Below are 24,421 nucleotides of genomic sequence, written 5' to 3' on the forward strand. Positions count from 1 at the left end.
ACTCCCAATTTTGGTCATTTTTAGTTATAATACCACCCCTTTTTGTTAACTCTGTTTTTAAGGTAATAATTATTTAATTCTCCCCTCCTCATAGCTTGTTTTTTTTTTTTTTTTTAATGGAAGAATCTCACACTGATGTGCTTTATCACACAATAGATTTAGCTGTGGTTTTCTCGTGAGGGTGTTGTGTTCTTGATGGTGCTGTGAGACTGACATTTATCTCCTCAGTTTCCTTGTTAAACATTCTCAGCAGAGTGCCTTGGACTGACAAACTGAAATACATTTTGATTAGGCAACATGAGCAGAAGGAGTGTGGGGAGAGGACTGTATAAATCTGTTTTACTCAACCTTGAAGAAATGTTAAGTGTTAATTCCCTGCGTCAAATAAAGTACACCAAGTATATATGCAGCGTTCCTGAGAGCTTCCTAATGAACTGAAAAAACAAACAATCTGAGGTGGGAAGAAGTATATTTCATCAACCCCCTGAGCAGCAATGATTTGCCTCAGCTTGTCATACATACTTGATTCTGATTAAAATAAGGCAAATGAACTGGTTTAATCTTTCTTGATAAAGAAATTGCATTTGTCATTACTAGAATTTCAAATTTCACATAATATGGAATCTGTATGTTGATTGTTATTATGGAGACCAGCAAGGCACATGAAACTATTGAGCTGAGGAACATATTTTAGTGACTATAACTGGTTTGAGAACTGATTGTTTTTAAGTGACCCAAATGACCGTGGTGATGAGATTGGATATGAGAAGCCTGGATAAAGAGGCATTCAAACTTGTAATTAAAATAAAACCTTCCTCAAATTGCTCCACTCCATTTCAACATTTCTTGTAGTTTGATTAGTAAAACACTATGATGGTGTCTGATGTTTTAAGTAAGAAGTTTCTGCACTGTTGGGGAAAAACAAACAAAGGCAATGCAGTGATTTCTAGAGTAAAAGTCCTCTGCTACAAAAAAGAGATGAAGGGCAATAAGATAAAAAGTTAGGTGCAGGGATGAATAAGTAGAGCATAAAGGATTTTTAGGGCAATGCAACTATTCTTTGTGATACTTTAATGATGGCTACATGTCATTATACATTTCTCCAAACCTATGGAATGCAAAACACCAAGAGTGAACACTAAATGTAAACCATGGACTTTGAATGATGATGTTTCAGTGTAGACTCATCAACTGTATAAAACAAAACAAAACAAAAAACCAAAAAACCATGTACCACTCTGGGGGGGGATGTCAATAATAGGGGAGGCTGTGGGTGTGTGGGACAGATGCTACATGGAAACTCTCTGTACCTTCCTCTCAATTTTCTTCCTAAAATTGCTCTAAAAATTAAGCCTATTTAAGATGAACTTATCACTTTTCAGTAGAGCTTCTACAAACAAACAAAAAAGTTGGAGATAGTTCCCAGGCCCCCTTAGTTTTGCTATTCATGCTGTGAATCTGAGTAGAAGGCCATTTGGAGGCTTGTTTACATACTCTAGGGTGGCAATTAACAAAATAGCTTCCCAGGTTGTGAAGCTAGTTGGCATCTACTGGGTATAGAATAACTTTTGAGAAACGATCTATATATGATTTTGACCAAAACTCTATTTTGCCTACATGATAATAAATTGAGATGATTTTGTATTTAGTAAAATGCTTTATGTTTCAGAGAGCAAGTTCAACATATAATCTCATATGATCACAAGAACTAGTGTATGAGTATCCTCACTTTATTGATGAGGTTCACAAAGTTTGTCACTTGCTAAATAACTAGAACATAAAACCTGACTTTCTGATTTTAAATCCAGAGGTATTCTACCATTTTGCTGCTTGAATTTTTACCTGATGTCATAAATGGGAGTCACCCTGATGGAGAGCATCTTGTAGCAGTCAGACAAAATATCTACTCCTATATTCTGTTATTGACTCTTGCAACTTGCAAGCAAGTGGCTTTTCCTCTTTATGCTAATAGATGGACACATATCATGCATTTCAAACCCATGTCATACACTGTGATAAAAAACAAATTTTAGCCTGGTGCAGTAGGTCATGCCTGTAATCCCAGCACTTTGGGAGGCTGAAGCAGGTGGATTGCTTGAGTCCAGGAGTTCAAGACCAGCCTGGGCAACTTAGCAAAATCCAATCTCTTCTCTCTCTCTCTCTCTCTCTCTCTATATATATATATATACATATATATTTAGGTATTTATAACTTAAAAATTAGCTGAGTGTGGTAGCACATGCCTGTAGCCCCAAGTACTTGAGAGGCTGAGATAAGAGAATAGCTTAAGTCTGGGATATTGAGGCTGAAATGAGCTGAGATTTTGCCAGTGCACTCCAGTCTGGGCAACAGAATGAGACCCTGTCTCAAAATCAAAACAAAAAACCCAAATATATATTAATATATAGTGGGGCCTTCTATAATTCCATCCTCTAATTTCATGCTGGGATTGTTTTGTGTGTGAGATCAAGTAATTCCCTTCCCTTTGTGTGATTTGGTTATGAAATCATTGATTTCTGGTTATAGATTTTGGAATGTTGAGGATTGTGCTAAAGAAAGACATTTAATGGTTATATAATTTTTATCGGAAGAAGCCAACATGTTTTGTCAGTGGAATAATATTAACATTATCAATGATTATTTATTGAGCTATAAATAGCTCATCCTTTTCAGGAGAAATGTGACATTTTATTTTTATGATATATAATATATTATGGTCCATTTTAATTACCTGCTTGTCCCACTCTGCGCTACTCCCAAGGTTTAATTCAATTTAGTTAATACCTCTATCTTTAGGAGGGATATTTTATATTATGAAGATATGTATTCTCCCTAAGTTAATAAAGTCTATAGTGTCAAGGCAATGTCAATAGCATTTCCAAATAGAATTGTTAAGAATAAAAAAAGTTTAACTGAAATATATATACAAAAGTGGCTGGAAAAGAGGAGTAATACAGGCAGAGAATGGTCTTATCAAATGTTGAATTGTACTTTAAAGCTATAGGATCTTTGGCACTGGTGCAGATAGTGACTCAGCAGAGCAGAGTAGTCCAGGAACAGACCCATATGTCTATTTGTGTATGCGAGGTGACATTTCAATTCAATAGCTGAAGTTGGGATAACAATGGCTCATGTGGACAAATAAAGATGGATCACAGTTCTTACAAGTGAGACTTCTGCTTTTCACTTATATTATCTCGTCCTACTTCACATTTTTACTATGTTCATATTTTATTTTTATAGTAAAAGTTGTTTATTTTTTAAAAAGCTAATGACCTCATAATTTGTCTACCTTCTGTTGTGTTAATATCCACTAACTCTGTTGTTACATGAAAATGAGTAATTTGTCCTATGTATTTTTCTCTATGTAAACCTTGACTATTTATTTTTAAGCACGGACTCTTATGTTGATTACAACATATTTTGCTTAAAAAAATACAAGACAGTCAGGTGCTTTTGACAGGTAGTTTTAATCCCCTAATTTCCTTATCTTGCTTCTTGTTGACAGCTCTTGATTCCACTTTAAATCTCTGATTTTATAAAAGTAGTTCTGTCTTGTGATGCAATACCCGTGACCTTCATTACTGGCAAAGAAGATTCTGCTTACCATTTGATCTGCAGATTTGTAGGTTCCTTATCTGAGCTGAGCTTCTTACAGCTATGACTCAGTTGTCAACGTGGTACAACTTCCACTTCATTAAAATCTGGATGCCACTGGCAGCGCTTCAGAATCACTATGTCTTCATCAAATAATGATTTGAAATGAACTTGCATAACTGAGATTGTTCTAGGATATCAAGATACCTGAATCCCAATGGAGAAAAAATTTTCTAGAAATAAAGTGTTACCTGCCTGTCTCTTTTGGTGATATAAAGAGGTGCTTTACTTATCTTACATACCTCTAATTTATCCTATAATGGATTTTATATAAAATAGGATAATTTTCTTTAGGGAGGGATGTATGCACATACATATATGTGAATTTATGTGTATTTGTATACATATATATGTGTAGTTACACACAAAATATACACACGTCACCTAAAAAACAATTTTACATTATGTAAGATGCTTAATAATTTTTCTTTTCTTTTTTTTTTTTTTTTTGAGACAGAGTCTCACTCTGTCACCAGGCTGGGTTGCTGTGGCATGATCTTGACTCACTGCAACCTCCAACTCCTTGGCTCAAGTGATTCTCCTGCCTCAGCTTCCTGAGTAGCTGGGATTACAGGCACGTGCCACCATGCCCAGCTAATTTTTGTATTTTTAGTAGAGATGGAGTTTTACTGTGTTGGCCAGGAGGGTCTCGATCTCCTGAGCTCACAGTCCACCCGCCTCGGCCTCCCAAAGTCCTGGGATTACAGGCATGAGCCACTGTGCCCAGCCAATAGATATTTATTATAAAAATGGAATACAAAATAAACTACTAGCTTATAGTAGGATTCTGACCACAACTGAATTATTGTTATGCTGGGAATTTACATTGCTGTATTTAACTACTTAACTCTCACATTTACTATTTCCTCATCATTCTCTCTCGTTTCCTTCATCTAAGCTACCACCTCAGTGGGCTTTTTCAGTTGTAGGAAAGGAAACGGAATAAAAATGCCGCTGGGAAATTTTAACCTTTCTGTAAGACCTCTAGATGACATGAACCTCTAGTGGAGAAAGGCAAATAAATGTTTCGGACTGAATTGAGGATAAATGTCTGCTGCTTCTAGTAGATGTAAGCTTCATATGGATTTATCCACCATAGAAAAGCAAATCTACCTTCAAAATCCTTGATAAATATAGATGTATTTTTAAGCTAAAAGTTTTGTGTTCATTGCTGAATAGCAAAAGAAAAATTCACATCTAAAACTGAACATCTGGTAAAACAATCTATTTCAAAATATTTAGGAATTATGCAGTTACACGTAGTAATGGATATTTATTCTGTACTTTATGTAATAACAAACAGCACCTATGAAGTGAAATGTAAGATTGGACTTTCTAGCTTATTAGTTCTAAATATCAATGTGGCTTGCATTTCTATCCATAATTTTAACTGTATAAATGTTATTTTATAAGAATATACTAAATTTTGTACCTGATATTTCTTTACAATTTCCTAGTTGAAAAGATTATCTTCACAAGATTCAAGATTCTTTAAGTGGATAGTATTACAAAAAAGTGCAAATTGTGTAAGTATAATTTGTAACTTTGTCATCAGAACACTGTCTGACACAGATATGTGCTTCTTAATTTTGTTTTAACAAGAAAAAACACTCAGACTGCATCCTCCCAGAGGAAGGGAAGAGCGATCATCAATGGCAAATGGCATTTTCAGTGAAGGAGCACCAAGAGCCAGCTTCACGCTAGTGAGGGAACCCTGCACCTTCTTCTGGTTTCCAGTGCTCTACATTAGCAATCCCCAACCTTTTTGGCACCAGGGACCAGTTTTGTGGAAGACAACTTTTCCAAGGACCAGGGTGGGGGTATGGTTTTGAGAAGAAACTGTTTCACCTCAGATCATCAGGCATTAGATTCTCATAAGGATCACGTAACCTAGATCCTTTGCATGTGCAGTTCACAATAGGGTTTAAGCTTCAATGTGAATCTAATGCCACTGCTGATCGAACAGTAAGTGAAACTCAGGCCGTAATGCTCGCTTGCCTGCCATTCACCTCCTGGTTCCTAACAGGCTATGGACAGGTACTGATCTGCTGCCCTGGGGTTGGGGACCCCTGCTCTACACATTCAGAGAAACTTCTCTAGTAATGAACTGTGGAAATGATCCCTGAAAGTATTGTCTTATTAATTTTTGTTGAATAAATCAATATATCCTTATATCTGTGGTTGAACTGTCAGTGAATAATTAAGTACTTGGCATTTTCACTGCTAAGTATTATATGCTGTTAGGATACAAAAAAGAATAACGTGTGGCCCTTGTTTCCAGTTCAGAGCAAAACCATATAGATATGAAAAGATTTGACGAGAAATAGCTTTTTAAAAATATTAACCAGTATAAATAATAGATGAATTTTACATTTCTTCTATTTTCTTCACATTCATCATTACATTAGTAGTCATTATTATTTATGTTCATGTAAATGAATTAGTTCATGTATCAGATGTAGTCTGATTTTAAAAGATTCTCATTGGGCCCTACTAGTTGTAATTCTAGACTGTATGCACAAGTGAAAAATAGTATGTACTATATACAAATAAGTGAAAATAATACTTTCCTGGAAATTCTGAAGTTAGACTTCATAGCTGAAGATGCTTGGGGTAAGGCTTAGGCCAGCTCATTCTTAGATGAAGAATATTCAACTTGTAGGGCAAAGAGAAATATTTCAAACCTTGGTAGCCTAGAAGTAAAGCAGGCTTAAGAACTTGATTTTTCTATCTTTTTAACTTAAATTTCAAACCTGAATTTGATCACTTTGATGTGAGCAGAGATCAAGTATTTATATAGCAAGCAAAAGAAATCAAGAGTAATTTGCCCATGTGTTGAGGACCCCACCTGTGCCAAGTGTTCCTTGGATTAAGGATGGAGGGGAAGAGGTTGTTGTTCAGGCAGCTGCACCCACAATTCAGGACTAATGCACCTTGCTGGGTAAATATCTGAAGAGAGCCAATTATTAGAAATGAACTGTGACTATTAGTTACCCAGGGAGGTTAATTACTCATGGTGACCCATATAAAGTTTTAAAGCCTATTCAACTACAGCAGCACTTTTTCTCCTTAAAGACAGTGTTGCATGGTGGACAGGGTGGATGGAGAGGAGCCCCAAGTTTTCCTTTGAATTGCGCTCCTCAATCATTTTTTTCTAACCCAAAACTTGAGCATCTGACACATGGCCATCAGTGAAAATGAATCTCAGTGGCAGTAGTTTCTAGTAGGAAAGAAATTATACTCTCTCGGATAAGTGAATCAGATTCTGAGGGAGGTATATGTAGTTTGAAAAAGTTCCTTCCTGCCGGGGGGGATTCTGATGCACCATGCCTCCCTCTAATTTAGTAGGAATCCTGCCTTAATTTTGTCCACAGTAACAACAACAACAAAAAAAATTCGAACATAAGGAAGGTGGAGAACATAAATAAAATAAAATCCCTATTATCATATTCTGAGTTATCCTGGATACTAAAACTGAGATGAATGTACACATATAAAAAAATAACGGGATGGAAGAAAAACATAACTAAAATGGAAAAGGATATAATAGCCTGACCATATATGGTCTAACAAATACCAGACTGTGGGAGGTATGTTGACATTTGTCAGTAATCAGTGTATAGATTACTGCACGAGTCAGTGTGATTTCTGTCATGTGTGACAGGTTAATCAAGAAAACTCTGTGAGAAATTGGATGATTCTGTGAAGTATATATAAAGATTTTTTATTTATTCGGTGGCACCATTGATTTTTTTAAGATATTCTCAAAATTTTTTGGTTAAATCATATTTGTCTGTTTTGATCATTAAAATATTTTATAAGGATATTTTCCCCTTTTAAAGTTAGGAAAGTGACAGTAAAAATCATACAAGTATATTTGACAGTAATTCAATAGTTTGTATAACTTCTCATTCTGCAATAAAGTGGTAATATGCAGATCTTGTAGAACTGCCCCAGGGAAAAGTTTATAATACTAGGAGATTTCTGTGCTCATTTGGATTTATCCTGAGGAATAAAATTGAATCATTGTGAAATATCAGACAATTCACTGAATGATTTCATCTTACTATAAGATTCCTCACCAGAGCATTTCATCCAATTCTTGGCTGATGTTATTATTTGAGTGACATTGAGAAAGGAAATGAAACAAATTCCTTTTTGTATATTTATGGACTAGACAAGACAGGTCTCTGAGAAAAATAAGAAATTTTGAAAACTACAGCTATGTATACATTAAAATGCCAACATTCTGGAAATAACACACCTCACATTGGAGACTTTGTTAAAAGTCTACATCATTTAAATCTCTAAATATTTATGGTAACTTATTAGTAATTACCACATAGTAGGCTTTCATTTTTATAGTTTTTATTGTGCTTTTTAATCATTCAATTCCAAGCACATTCTGGTTATGGGCACTATTGGATTCTTACAGTACAAAGATGATTGATATTTATTAAATATCTCAGAGGTACCATAAAAAGTTCTCTGTGTCATCAAAGAAACATAAAACTGTGTTTAAAATAATTTTGTAAAATATGCTTTATTATTTCTATTTTGAAAATTACAATTTTTATAAGTTAACCGGAATTCTCTACTACTTGACTATATCATATAATGCAATATGCTATGCTGATTTGAATTACTGTATGTGTTCTTATTACTTTTTAGTCCAAAATGACTTTGATCTAGCAGATTGCTAACAGAACAAAATGTGAGGTATTCACTTTGAAATAAGAGAATGGAGGTTAGTAAGACTAGTGTAGATCTTATAATGAATTGAATAAATTTTCATAAAAACTCAATAAATGCTATAGTGCATGATTCTAGAAGAGTTTTATATATATAACTAAAAGGAATATGTTTATCATATTGTATGGTGATTTTTTTCCTTTTGAATATATAAAACGTCCTTTACTAATTTCAGAAACAAGGCATAAATGTAATCATATATTTGTGCCATTGAAGATTGGTAACATATCAAGGGGAAAAAAATATTGTTAAAACTTTTGGGTTTTTTTTTTTGAGATGGAGTCTTGCTCTGTCACCTATGCTGGAGTGCGGTGGCATGATCTTGGCTCACTGCAAGCTCCGCCTCCCGGGTTCACATCATTCTCCTGCCTCAGCCTCCCGAGTAGCTGGGACTACAGGTACCCGCCACCACTCCTGGCTAACTTTTTTTTTTTGTATTTTTAGTAGAGATGGGGTTTCCCCGTGTTAGCCAGGATGGTCTCGATCTCCTGACCTCGTGATCTGCCTGCCTGGCCTCCCAAAGTGCTGGGATTGCAGGCATGAGCCACCGCGCCTGGCCTTAAAACACATTCCTTAAGGGAACCGTTAATATATCCTTCACACCACATACTAAAATCTGGTTAGCAATAATTGGGTGTGGTTTGTTTGGCAATAACTGGAGGATTAAAAAAATGCTTCATGAAAGTATCTGAAGAACTAGCATTAAATGGATGACTTCACAATGTGGAATGAAAACTATCGACATTTTCTACAAAATTAAACCTAGTTATATACCAGTACATATAAATCACAGCTTTTCTCTCAATTTAGGCTAAACTATGCTTTGGAAACTGGCAACCCTGAAATCTTAGTCGATCAGCATACCAAACTTTATTTCTTGTCTTACTGTGTAACATGGGCTAGCTTTTCCTTTGCTCTATTTCATCTTCTCTCGAGCACCCAGCCTGGCTCAGTAGTTCTCTCTGGGATATTGCTGGTCTCAAGGCAGAGGAGAAAAAAATGGCAAACCATGACCTTTAAACTTTAAGGTTCAGCTCAGAAGAAACACACATCTTTTCTGTGTATTTCATATTTGTGTCTGAGTTAAATAGCTTGGGGATGAATAATCCTCCCACAGTTGAGAGTCATTGGTGGGGAAAAGCAACAAATATTTTAAACAATAATACAAGCTAATATATATATTTCTCATTAATCTTCATTAAGGAGTTGATAAGCAATTATTACTCCAGGTATGGTTAAATATGATTTAATTCATATTAATATGTAATTTCATTTTTTGAGTCTTATGCTTTTACTGCCTAACTGGTACACAGCTGATTAAACAATTTTTTTTCTTATTGCGGAAAACTCTAGAACCGTATATATACATAGCTACCCCAAGTGTATTTTGTTCAAGAAATGTTTAATATCACTCTTATATATTTATGAATATTACAGAATTCCTATCCCCCAGAAGCTCAGAGTTTAGTTGATGAAATAGATAATTATGCTGAATATTATGATCATAATAAAATGGAAACGTGATTTATTTATTGAATATTATTTTTAAAATATTATAAAATGTGCTTTATGTAGATTTTCTCATTTAATACAACAATACTACCTGATAGATATCAATATTTTTGTTCCTGTTTACAAATGAAGAAACAGTCTTAGGGTTATTAAGTAACATGCCCAAGTTCATGTAGCTATGTGCAACTCGAACTACGTTATCTGCTCTAAAGCCTAAACTCTCTTCAGAGACACTGTCAGCTCCTATTTTTAGTTCTCTAAAAATGTCCTATTTTCATTCTGTGTGATCCTGAAGTTATTGTCTACTCTGCATTCAGTGTCTGGGTTTTTGACAAGGTTGAGGGCTATTTTCTATTTTGATTTGATGAGAACCTTCTCTTTTAAGGTCAAAGCTGAAATGTACATTTCACTGGGCAAGACATGGGAGATATAATACCCCCTGTGTATCTTTACTCAAATTTTTCTGTGGTAGCAATTGAGAACTCTTTCGCCATTTATCCACTTCAAAGTGGTATTGGCTATTGTTGCATAGAGTGTAATCTACTTGTCTAATTAATAAAACAATTGTATACTTTTCTGTTGGTCTTTGTCAAGCGCTCATGCTGTGGATTACTGATCAAAACTGAAAAACTCAAAACTATTTTTATAAATTCTGATGACTTGAGGGCCATAATAGTTGCCTTTATATATTTTTTAAAAGTCGAAGTATATTTTTCTATCTAATTATAGAGAGTAAATTAGGAGGCAGCTACAACAAGCCAAATCTTAAATATATGAAAGTTTTTGTTTTAATATATAAGAGCTTTTTGCCAGAAAAAATGAACACCTTTGGAGGTGGAGAGTTTTTTTTTGTCTGTTTTGTCATTGTATATGTCAAGTAGCATCTAGATATCTACATTGTAGAGATATCATGGAGGTAATTCTAGCATTAGACAAAACTCAAAAGATATCAGCAGTCTTTGCTTGCAGACTCTGTTTTTCATTCCTGAAGCACAACTCAGATCCCATGCCCTTACTCTCCTAAGGCAAATTTACTTACCAAACACAAATGAATAATGGAGATTTTAATGAAGATTTCTTGGGATGAGAAAGGGGAAAATGTATGTTACCAGCCACATAGCAAGGAACTTTATGAAATTTTCATTACATACTTTGTTTTTCCAAATCCTTTCCTCAGCTTTCATCTGCCAGGGTGTTTTCAGCTCTCTGTGCCTACCATCCTTATTCATTCAGACTCCTTAATTTTTAACTGAATGTCAACAAATATTCTCTGCAAGACTCTATCCCCCTTTTGAAATCAGAGCAATATAGCTCTTTATTTCTCCAATCATGTATATTTCTAGTCTCTTCACCCTGCTGTACTAAGAAAGCACTCACTGGCTAACTATATCCACTCTTTCTTAAACTTGGGGAATTATTAAAAATAACTATAACTTTCTCCATGATATGAATACATATATGCATACTTACATGTATCTTGAGATTAGAATGTCTTAAACATTGATGAAGACACCATTTGGATTAAGAAGACTGCAAGTACAAAAAACATTATTTCTGCTGTCAATAAGCTTAAAATTTTGTATATATATGTTATTTTTTGTATTTGGACTGCACATGCATAGAGGGAAATCAGAGATTTGACACTAGCATCCATTATCATGTTGTCACAAATATAGCATATATTTTTTAAAGAAAATCAGTTAAGACGTACCTTGCTTTTTTTTTTTTTTTTTCCATGTGCAATATAACCAAAGTTCCTGGAAGTCACAAATAAAAATGCATGTGGAGAAAATTGGACTCCTTTTTCTCTTGTTTGTATTTAACACATGATAACATGGCTCTTACTACATCCTTTGTGGTAACAAGTTCTTGGTATTTTGGTAGCTGCTGAAGCTGCCTCACTTTTTCCTTCTCTTCTCCCTCTGTTCTTCCAAAGTTCTTAATTGAAGGACAACCTGCAAGGCCACAGAGAAATGGTTTCTGTAAGTAATTGATACTCCAAGAATTCTGAATTGCACAGATGAGTTAGACACCCCAAGGAATGAAAAAAACTTCACAGAAAGTAAGAGAAAATGAAATGTTTAGAGAGAAAGAGTATGTGAGTTGGATTTCAAGGGAAAAAGTGAAGATAGAAGCTTCTGCCTTCCCTCGTGCTCTTTCAAGCTCTTTTAAATATACATTAACAGTTCTTGGTTTTACCTTATAATATTGGGGCAAAGTCGTAGCCATTAAAAAAAAAATCCCACAATTTCCTTTGAAAAGCAGTGCCACTTTTAATTTTAAAACATCTCATGTTTGTGTTTATATGAAGTATTGAATGTATCCTACAGTTTCTTATGAATCTTGTAAATCTACCAGTCTGATGTTTTTCTACCTCAAGATTCACGAGGTAATGTACAAAAAAGCATAATGAAGTAGTTTTATTAAAACAGGAAAGTATTATGATATTTGCAAAGTGACAGAATTAAAAAATAATAATATGACTCCTAAAATTTAGATGTCTTCTCATTTGTTTCATATTTCATGAAATGAAAATATCCCAGAAATGCCATGGGATAATGTTCTATTCCCTGAAAACTATTATATACGACCTTCATACAATAGATGTATAATCTTCATTCTTTAATTTTTAGTATATCCACAGTTGTATTATTTTGCTCTCTTATATATAGATTTGTTTTATTTTCCATTGTAGAAACTTACCTTCTTAGCCTTTAGGCATTTTGGGAACATGTGGTGTCATTAAACTCTGTTTATTATAAATCTGTCCATGGTAGTCAATATTTTTGTTACCTTGTGACATTTTCATTTTCTTTTCTAATTAGATGGTAAACTATTCAAAATCAAAATAAAAACTCATAGAAAATACTAGCATTCTAGCTTATTTTTTTTAAACTGGGGTGAGGTGCTAAATAAATAATTTGTTTAGGACATACAAGTGAGTTCAATAAACTTAAAAATAAACTGGAAGGGTTGATGTTGATAGTAAATAATAGCACTAAGCAATCTTAATTTTATAAAACTTAAGGAAATAAAGTGCACCCTTTTAATTCTTTAGCAACTTACATTGCTACAAAATTGTCATGAGTTAGGGAATCCCAGTACAGATTCTTAGAACATTTTAGGATTAAAGAAGAAATTTTGTCTGCAGTGAGGAATGTCTCATGTTAGTGCTTTACGGTATTTTTATATTGTAAATTCACTGCTTTTAGTGTTCTATATATGCAATGCAAATATCAACAGTTAAATATAGATTTCATGGTTAATTTCTTCAGTAAAACATCAGTGTCCCAAACTCTGAGGGACTGAAATACTTTGGATAAATTTATTTACTATGTATTTGAGGCTTAGTAATTATGATGATATCTAAAACTGTTATATGCATTTAAATCTATTTGATACATGATTAAATTTTGAATTCTTTTTCATTTTGGAGTATATTGAACATAAATTGATATTTAATTTGACTCTTAACCACACTGCAAACATTCCACTTTATTTGATACTTTTGGAACTTTTAGATATAAATCTAGATTGGCTTAGGCCTGTGAACCCATTGGTGAGGGCTTGATACCGTCTCTGGCTTTAAATCTTTGTAAGTAATTGTTTAACATAAAAATTATTGAAACTTTTTTTAGTGATTGACTCGCTAGGTAGACTGAGCAGATATCATAAAAATGAATCTCTTTTAACTAAATTATAAGATATTAAGAAATTATGTATATTTGCATTCAGAGTGCCTGCCACATAATATGTGTTACAATAATTTGTTAACAAAATGAGCACATGAATGCATCAGTAAAACAAACCTATTCTGTAGAAATACTTTAACCATTTTTCTTCCTTGCAATTTTCAAGTCATTTATAGATATTTCTTTTTGGTAATTGCTGTAATTTTTTATACATACATTTTGCCTTTTATTAAAAGCATATTGCTTTGCTATGTTGCTTATTTTTAAACTATAATAGAGGGTATGTGATTACTATACAGTTTTATAGTTTATTTTGTTGTGCATTTATTCATTTAATCAGAATGCATTATTTTCTACATGCCTGACCCTTTGCTAGGAGGAAAAGATGCAAAGATAAATAAGACATACCCTCAATTAATGAGGGAAACAGAAAGCTACATATTTTAAAACAATCTGTAATATACGTGTTATGTAAAACCTAGAGTATGTTTTGGGGTATCAGAGGAAGAGTTTATGGAATAGGGAGTCTGAGGAAGATGAGTAGAAATTTCCTAGAAAAAATGGAAGACAAAGAATAAATCCCAGCTTCTGAGGACTGAGTAAGCACAAACATGGAGATAAGCAGAAAAGTAGACATGATGGACACTGTAAAGAATCAGGTCTAAGTTTGAAGGAGGAAGCATAAATATAAGAGGCTTGAAAGAGGTAAAGATACCCCGGAGTTCCAAGAGAATGTTGGAGAAGGGAGCCTGAGTGGAGACTTGTCTCTTTCTATAAACTATGGACCCAGGGTGTTCAGAGAGATTTGCCTCAGACATAGCCTAGGAGAATGACATGAAATGTTCTGTGGAATACTGGAGAGGTTCTGTTCTTCCAGCTTTATCATATTTCTATATCTTCTAATTACAAAATTTAATGAAATTTTAATCTTTTGATATAAATTCAAAAGGAGTTACATACATTGCAAAGGGAGCCCTCCCCAACCCGTCCCTCTTTCTTGTATAGTTTGACATTCCTCTCAGCCTTCACATGAATTCAAATTCTGGTGTTCATCTAAGTTGGCAGGAGTATGGGAAGCAAGGGAGTGTGCAGGTAGAGTGAAAGGTGGTGGGGGCACTGTTTTTCTTAATTACATGTTAATATGCTTTGTCTTGTTAGCTTTGGAGGATTTACATCACTGGAGCACTTAGGTTGGAGCATTTACATCTCATTGCAGCTTTACAACTACCTTTATCTCTTATTGTTTTTCTTGCTTCCTGCTGGGAACCTACTGTGAAGTACAGTTGACTCTAGCTGCATGAGTTTGAACTAGGCTGGTCCACTTTTAAGTAGATTTTATTCCACCTCTGCCATATCTCTGAGAGAGCAAGACCAATCCCTCTTCTTCCTTCTCATCCTCAGCCTACTCAACGCGAAGACAATGAGGATACTTTTATGATAATTCACTTCCACTTGATAAATAATAAATATGTTTTCTCTTCCTTACAATTTTCTTAACACTTTCTTTTCTCTAGCTTACTTTACTATAAGAATATATTATATACTACATACACAAAATGTGTGTTAATTGACTGTTTATGTTATTGGTAAGTCAACAGTAAGCTATCAGTAGTTAAGTTTTTGGGAAGTCAAAATTATACGCGAGTTTTTACTACACTGGGAGTGGTGGGGCTCGGTGCCCCCCGGCCCTTTCATTGTTCAAGGGCCAACTGTTAGTGTCTAATGAAATATTGAAAACTACTTGTTACAATAATGAATTCATACATAGATGAATACATGAAATAATACTGTTTATTTTCCAAGTCCTGGAAAATTTTAGACTAGAACATAAGCTTCTAATTCCCTGCACACTTTTAGTCTCACTCTAGTTATGAGTTTTTTTTTTCTTTTGCAATTGTGAACAGTTTATTATTTCCTATACTATGGAACCACTTGTAAATTATCCCAGTTCTTTTCCTTGAGTTCTCATATTCTCTCTCTCTCTCTCTTTTTAATTTATTTAAGCTCTGGGATACATGTGCAGAACGTGGAGGTTTGTTACACAGGTATACACATGTCATGGTGGTTTGCTGCACCCATCAACCCATCATCTACACTAGGTATTTCTCCTAATGCTATCCCTCCCCTAGCCCCCCACCTCCCGACAGGCCCTGGTGTGTGTTGTTCCCCTCTCTGTGTCCATGGGTTCTCATTCTTCAGCTCCCACTTATGAGTGAGAACATGCACTGTTTGGTTTTCTGTTCCTGTGTTAGTTTGCTGAGAATGCTGGTTTCCAGCTTCATCCATGTCCCTGCGAAGGACACGAACTCATCCTTCTTTATGGCTATATCATATTCCATGGTGTATATGTGGCACATTTTCTTTATCCAGTCTGTCATTGATGGGCATTTGGGTTGGTTCCAAGTGTTTGCTATTGTAAATAGTGCTGCAGTAAACATACGTGTGCATGGGTCTTTATAGTAGACTGATTTATAATCCTTTGGGTATATAACCAGTAATGGGATTGCTTGGTCAGATGGTATTTCTGGTTCTAGATCTTTGAGGAATCGCCACACTGTCTTCCACAATGGTTGAACTAATTTACACTCCCACCAACAGTGTAAAATCATTCCTATTTCTCCATATCCTCTCCAGCATCTGTTGTTTCCCGGCTTTTTAATGATCACCATTCTAATTGGCATGAGATGATATCTCATTGTGGTTTTGATTTGCAATTCTCTAATAACCAGCGATGGTGAGCTTGTTTTCATATGTTTGTTGGGTGCATAAATGTCTTCTTTTGAGAAGTTTTCATATTCTTCACTCACTTTTTGAGGGGGTTTTTTGTTTTTTTCTTGTAAATTTGTTTAAGTTCCTTTTAGATTCTGGATATTAGCCCTTTGTCAGATGGATAGATTGCAAAAATTTTCTCCCATTTTGTAGGTTGCCTGTTCACTCTGATGATAGTTTATTTTGCTGTGCAGAAGCTCTTTAGTTTAATTAGATCCCATTTGTCAATTTTGGCCATTGTTGCCATTGCTTTTGTTATTTTAGTCATGAAGTCTTTGTCCATGCCTATATATTCTTTGTGAAATTATCAGCTTGTTTACACATTTCTGATTATGAGTGAATCTAGGTATTCTTACATGCCTAGAAAACATTTAGTTTTCTTCTCTGTAAACTATTCATGTCCTTTATATATTCTTTAAATTCTTCTATTCTTACTCTCCCTCTTTTTTTCTTTTGCTTTTCTCACTTTGTGGACTTTAAAAGTTTATATGTTAAGGAACTTAATCTTTTGCCAAATATATTTTCCTAGTTCGTGTTTAGTATTTTGAATTTTCTTATGATATTTTTACTTTTGTGGAATGAAATTTGTCAGTCTTTTCTTTTGTAGCTTCTGATGGTAAAGCCTGACTATATTGAAGGTAGGCTCTTCAAAAGACAACTAGAAAAGATACATTAATCATGTGAAGTTAACCTAATTAGTTGAATTAATGCAGTAAGGCAGAATGCTAACTTGACAGAGTAAAGTAGTATCTCAAAATGTGGAAACTAGGGCAGAGTAATTTATAGGGAGTGCCAGAATGGGTGAATTAGGGTGGGTCATTCAGGAGGAGATTTGCCTGAGATTGGGCAAAGTATATGACCAAAAATTGCTTTGGATTGATGGGCATAGCAAAATGAGGATCTTAAAGTGAGCCTTGGGAAACAAGCTATCGGTCTTGATAAGTAAGTTCACAGTCTTATCTTTTAGGAGCTCTTATTTCCTGGAGAAAGAAGCTAAGATATTTTTGCCTGGTCTAAATATTGTTTAGTACAGAAACAGAACAGTAAATTATGTCTATCTATATTGTTTAATACAAGGATAGAGAATTATGTTAGGTTCACTTCTCAGTTACGAAGAAATTCTCCTGTAATATCTGTATTACTTTTATAATTATTTTTTATACCTGACTCTTTCTTGTTAATATTAATGTAGTTTATTTTCGTGAATTGTGTAAGATTTGTATATCTTTGTTTTTGCAAAACGGCTACCTGGTATCTTGGTACTATTTATTGAATAACAATAAATGTTTCTCCAATAATTTAAAATATCATCTTTATGAAATATGATTTTTTTCTACATATTTGGCTCTTTCTGTATTTTTACTTCTATTTCACTGATCAGCCTTTGCATGCATTACTATGCCACTGTTTAAATTATGAAAGCTTTGTATGTTTTGAAATTTGCAAGCAGTCATTCTGTCTCATTGCACTTCCTTTTCAGAGATTATTCTGGCTATTCCTAGCACTTTATTTTTCCACATGAACTTTGGGATCAGCTGTTATTTTAAATGAAATTTTAGAATAGAATTAAGATATTGTCTAATATTTTTTAAGAAAAATATTACTTGATATTTGTTGTGGAAATGGGTTCGTTTAGAAATCAGTTTAGAAGAAATTGTTTAATTTTTCACAAGAAAAGATAGCATCTAAGACCTTATGTACTCTTCAGAGTGCCTTGATATGTTCTTTATATAATACTGGCATAATTCCTTAAAACTTTAAATCTAGCTTTAATGGCTTTTAATTTTGGCATAAAAATGAGGGCTTCTCTATTGCTATAGCTATATATTCAAATTCATTATGATTTCACTAATCGAAACTATTAAATTTATGTCAATTTTTTATCCTACCGTGGTTAGTAATTCTCTCATTGCTCATGTAGTTTTTCACTTTACACTTTTGATTTTGAAGAAGTACCATTGTTTCTTCAGCAAATAGTGTTTTACATCTCTTCACTTCAGATACCTTTATTTTCTTGTCTAATTTAATTGGCTAGTACCTTAAATACAACACTAAATAGCAACAATGATAGTGGGCATTGACTTGTTCTCAACTTCTTTAGGAATGAGTCTAGATTTTTCTCATTAAGTGTAAAACTGACTTTTAGGCACCATATCAGTGTTTTATAAAGTTAAGAATTTTTGTATTCCTATTTCGATATCTTGTAACTTGACCAAGTAACGTCTTCAGCAGAAAGTTTCAGGTATATTTTCTCTCCTGTAAGTCTTTTATAATATTACTGGATTCGAATCTTCTTTTATTTCACAGTACTATTTTTGAAGTATAAGTTGTAATTTTTTTTATCTTCTGTGCATTTGGTTATATTTGAGAACTCCAAGAATATCTATGTTGAGTTGGTTTTACATATCTTTTACATAGCTTTTTTTCTATTTCTTTTAATTATTCTTTATTTGCTTAATTTTTTCAGTTGTGACCATTTTGTGCTTTCTTCAGCATTTATTCTTTATGCAAATTCCAGTTATTTATTACTGTGAATTTGTTTTCTTTGTTCAATGTCTTTCTGAAGTTTTCATTTCACATCTCTTCTCCTATTCATTATTTCCATACTGAGTTCCTGCATTCAAGTTGTGTCATCTCCATTTATTAATAATTGCTTATTTTTTAATGGAAGAATGTAGTCATAAATTTAATCTGCGTTGTAGTACATTTTTTCTCTTCCATGTTTCTCCATTGTAGATAATTTTGCTACTTTTAAAATAGTTTTCTTGTATAGTATCTTTGTACAAAATCTGTAACATGTTATGATTTCTATAGATTTCCCTTTCATAGCTTTTTGAAGGAGGTTCCTTTGGGGACAAGGGGGATAGATTTGTACTCTTTAAGCTTCCCTTCTCCCCTTACCCAGATGACACAGAGACAGACTTATTCCTGCATATATGGTTGTATTTTGTGTGTGTGTGTCTGTATGTGTGTGAAGCTCCATCTCTTGTTGTTCTCTCAGGCACACCAGGTATGGGAAAGCTCTTGTTGACATTCTTTTCTTCTTTCTACATTAGAGCTTACAAAACCCATTCTCTGAACTAAAAATAGATTAGAGCCAAAGTGATATGGGACTTCTGAACCTAAAGCTCAAAAAAGGTTGCAGCTTCTGCTCTTTCTGTGGAACTCCGCCACCACCATATGAAGATGCTGACTTAGCCTCCTTGAGGGTGAGAGACCGTGGGAGAGAGAGGTCCAGCTGAAAATCAGCACTAATTGCCAATCAAGTGCTTGAAGCTATTTTAGACCATTCAGTTGCAATTGAGCTGCCAAGGGATTGATATGAATGACTCCAGGTGAGACCAGTAGAGCATCTGCCCCTTTGAGTTCAGTCTAAATTGCTGATCCATAGAATTGTGAACAAATAAATGCTGGTTGCTTTTAGCCACTGTATTTTGGAGTTGTTGTTATAGAGCAATAGAAAGCTGATGCCGTAGTTTAGTATATTTAATAAATATTTCACTGCATCTATGCCGTACATTATCAAATATGATATGAGACTAGCTCATGCATTATTACAATTTTTAAATAATGGAGTATACTACATTTTAGAGTAAGGTTTTTATTGATGTGCCGAAAATTAGCCCTTTGATAGTGCATAAAATAAGACTTGTTACGGTATTCAGAATTGCTCTATCTTAAATCAGCATTTCAGCATTCTAAATTATTGCTCTCACTCCAGTCATTTGGTTGGAGCCCTGTGACAATATACATAAATGTGTCAAAAATTTAACAACTTATCCAATACATTTCATATTTGATTAAAAACCTATTCTAAGATTATAAAATAAATTTCATATTTATTAGTTGGTAAACATATCAGTGACATATATCAAGTTTTAACTTGTCTCTAGAAGGCTTTCAGTCATTTCAAACAGCAAGATCTTAAGTTGATTTCTAGATAGTATTTCTTTGAAGAGTGTAGGGTTTGTAGTGAGTAAATAAAAATTTGAGTTGTAGGGCTAAGATCAGGAAATTATGAAAATGAAAGCAAGCCTTGTCTCTAACATATCTCCTTCACATGTTAGATTTATTTTAAAATTGGTTGCTTTTTTGTTAAGAAAATTATTTTTAAAGATTATGGTTTTATGTGTAGTGTAGATAAATAAAAATAAAAATTGCATTCATTTTTAGTGTGAATTTGAAGAGTTTTAGCTAAGGTATATACCATGTAGCCATGACTGTAATGAAGATATAGAACGTTACAATCACTTTGGGGGTTAATCTCCACCACTAATCCTTGGCCTTACACAACCATTTATCTATACTCCATCACAATCTACTATAATATCTTTCTTAGAGTTCCATATAAATGGAATCGTATAGTCTTTACTCTTTGTTTTTGACTTCTTTGCACATAATGTTTTACAGAATCATTTGCGTTGTTGTGTGTATCTGTAGTTTGTTACTTTTTACTGTTAAGTAATATTCCATTGCATGAATATACACAGATTGTTTATCCATTCCCCTGTTGACGAGCATTTGAATTGCTTCCCACTTTTGGCTACAATGAATAAAGCTGCTATGAATATTTGTGTATGAGTGTTTGTATGTAGATAGGTTTTCATCTCTTTTGGGTAAATACCTAGGAATTGGAATGTGTAACATTATAAAATACTGCCAAGATGTCTTCCAAAGTGGTTTTACTGTTTTAAATTGCTGCAAGCAATGTATGAGAGTTCTAGTTGCTGTACACCCTTTCCAACAAATACCATTACACACTTGGCATTTGTCGGTCTTTTAAACTGTATTCTGTCTGGTGGATGTGCAGTGACATCACATTGTGGTTTAAATTTGCAATTCCCTGATGACTAATAGTGTTGAATATCTTATTTATGTTCTCTTGGACACTTTATCTTATGTTGCAAAGTGTCTATTGAACTGTTTTACTCTATTTACATGTCAATCTTATTATTATTGATTTGTAAGAGATTTTTCTATATTCTGGATAGATACCTGTAGAATATTTTACTGATACCTGTAGAATATAGTAATATTCTCCTCAGTAACTTATCTTTTTATAGTTACTTTATGTTTAAGGAAGAGCTGAAGTTCTACATTTTAAAAAGTCAATTTTATCAATGATTTTCATTTATGGTTTGTGCTTTCTGTGCCGTATTTAAAATATTTTTGGTTATCCCCAAGGTTGCAAAAATTTACTCTTATGTTTTCTTTTATATATTTTTAATAGTTTTAGCTTTAAGATCTAGATCTGTGATTTTGAGATAATTTTAGTGTATTGTGTGTGGTAAAAATTGAGATGTATTAATTTTTTATATGGTCATGTAGTTGTTGAAGACCATTTATCTGAAAATACTCCTGCATTGAATTCCCTTGTCCATTTGACAAGGGAATCAATTGAATGTACATCTGCAGATCTCTTTCCACATTCACTATTAGCGCAAGATTTTTAAAATGAGAGTAACACCTCTATTTTAGTTTTAATCCATAAAGCAACCTGGGTTAGCTCTTAACATTTTAGTCACATTGAGGGACTGATTAGCTAAGGGAATGAGAACGGAACAGGAGACATTGTAAAGATCTAAACATTGTGATGGGGCAGCCGCAGTAATCAACGAAGGTGTGGAACATGTATGCATTGAACATTGGCCAGCAGGAGAAGGGTATTCCATAAAAAAGGTTTGTCCATGTCCTTTGCCCACTTTTTAATGGGGTTGTTTTATTATTGTAAATTTGTTTAAGTTCCTTGTAGATTCTGGATATTAGACCTTTGTCAGATGGATAGATTGCAAAAATTTTCTCCCACTCTGTAGGTTGCCTGTTTGCTCTGATGATAGTTTCTTTTGCTGTGCAGAAGCTCTTTAGTTTAATTAGATCCCACTTGTCAATTTTTGCTTTTGTTGCAATTGCTTTTGGCAATTTCATCATGAAATCTTTGCCTTTGCCTATGCCCTGAATGGTATTGCCTAGATTTTCTTCTAGAGTTTTTATAGTTTTGGGTTTTACATTTAAGTCTTTAATCCATCTTGAGTTAATTTTTGCATAAGGTGTAAGGAAGGGGCCCAGTTTCAATTTTCTGCATATTGCTAGCTACTTCTCCCAGTACCATTTATTAAATAGGGAATCCTTTCCCCATTGTTGTTTTTGTCAGGTTTGTCAAAGATCAGATGGTTGTAGATGTGTGGTTTTATTTCTGAGTTCTCTATTCCATTCCGTTGGTATATATGCCTGTTTATTTACCAGTACCATGCTGTTTGGTAAACAAACTTCTCAAAAGAAGACATACATGTGCCCCAAAAAATATGAAAAAAAGTCCAACATCACTGATCATTAGAGAAATGCAAATCAAAACCACAATGAGATACCATCTCATGCCAGTTAGAATGGTGATTATTAAAAAGTCAAGAAACAACAGATGCTGGCAAGGTTGTGGAGAAATAGGAGCACTTTTACACTGTTGATGGGAATGTAAATTGGTTCAACCATTGTGGAAGACAGTGTGGCTATTCCTTAAAGACGTAGAGCCAGATATACCATCTGATCCAGCAGTCCCATTATTGAGTATATATCCAAAGGAATTCTATTATAAAGATACACATACACATATGTTCATTGCAGCACCATTCACAATAGCAAATATGTGGAATCAACCCAAATGCCCATCAATAATAGACTGGATAAAGAAAACATGGTACGTATACATCATGGAATGCTATGCAGCCATAAAACGGAATGAGAACATGTCGTTTGCAGGGACATGGACGAAGCTGGAAGCCCATTATCCTCAGCAAACTAACGCAGGAACAGAAAACCAAACACTACATGTTCTTACTTATAGGTGGGAGCTGAATAATGATAACACATGGACACAGAAAGGGGAACAACACACAATGGGGCCTGTTGGGGGAGGCTGGTGGGTGGGGAGCATCAGGAAAAATAGCTAATGTGTGCTGGGCTTAATATCTAGGCAATGGGTTGACAAATGCAGCAAACCACCACTGTACATGTGTACCTGTGTAACAAACCTGCACATCTTGCACCTGTACCCCGGAACTTAAAATCTTTTAGCAAAAATAAATAAATTAATTAATAAAAAATAAAAAATAAAAATAATTGTCTAAGATTAGATTCTTAATAAATATGTATTTTAAATAATGAATGGATTAATAGATGAATAAATGTGGGAAGGTGGAATGACAAATTTTGTCTTTATAGATTACCACTATTTATTTCTACTTACGTTTAGGTTTTCAACAGGTTTCATTCTAAGGAGCCATTTTGTGCAGTGTCAATAACTGCAAATTTAGATTTCATCTGGTGAAAGTTTCTCATTTTACATATTAAGCAGAAATTTCAGCCACTAGGGAGATAGATAATGTTTAAGGTACATAGCAAGTGACCAAAGGAAAAAATTGATTCAGATCTTTGAATTTTTTGTATATGGTTTGTGCTCTTTCCTTTACACTAACAGTTTTATTCCAAATACCAAAGAATATAATGCTTTTAAATAAATAATTGAATCCGTAGGCTAAGAAGGAGTTTAAAAATCTCTGAAGAAAATCTAAAAAAAAAAAAAAAATGTCCAGGGGAATTAATGCTTTACTGATTGTTAAGTCTACCTCTTTCTTCTATCAGTTTGGGTTTATATAATGCTTAGCAATGTTGTGGTAGTATTTCTGGGTATAATGCCTAATTGCCTAGTTCCCACATCAAGCAAGAGAGATACAGACACAATCCCAAGAAATTAGACACCTTCCCTATCTTTTAACAGGGCTATTCCTGTAGACATCACCTACTTGTTGTAGTGATAGGAAAGTAAGAAGTTGTAAATAGTTTGTTGTTTCTTTCTAACTTTTAACCGAATATAAACTGTTAAGTTGGTTGTTTCCTTCTATCTTTTGACTGAATATAAATTATCTTTACTGACATATTCCTCCCGTGGATATGGAGTGTTAAGGCTGCTTTTTGCAAGCTAAATTACATATTCAATGCATAATGGATCAGAACAGAGATATTAAAAAATCAGCTTTAGAAAACAT

General features: G+C 33.9%; 1 long non-coding RNA gene and 1 pseudogene across 1 annotated transcript in view, besides 1 other annotated feature; one reads left to right on the forward strand and one right to left on the reverse strand.

The window, feature by feature from the left end:
• Window positions 1-24,421, forward strand: part of LOC124904475 (uncharacterized) — a 765,263-nt gene that overhangs the window by 272,297 nt on the left and 468,545 nt on the right. The window lies entirely within an intron of this gene.
• Window positions 5,278-5,359, reverse strand: LOC124904676 (uncharacterized; annotated as a pseudogene).
• Window positions 14,440-15,151: an enhancer, noted in NCBI's record as "OCT4-NANOG hESC enhancer chr1:193710151-193710862 (GRCh37/hg19 assembly coordinates)". NCBI's record gives its function as "activates a minimal SCP1, AML or CMV promoter by ChIP-STARR-seq in primed H9 embryonic stem cells {active_cell/tissue: H9 hESC(primed)}" and the evidence as "EXISTENCE:reporter gene assay evidence [ECO:0000049][PMID:30033119]".

This window comes from Homo sapiens, chromosome 1 (assembly GCF_000001405.40).
Source record: "Homo sapiens chromosome 1, GRCh38.p14 Primary Assembly".
Taxonomy (NCBI): domain Eukaryota; kingdom Metazoa; phylum Chordata; class Mammalia; order Primates; family Hominidae; genus Homo; species Homo sapiens.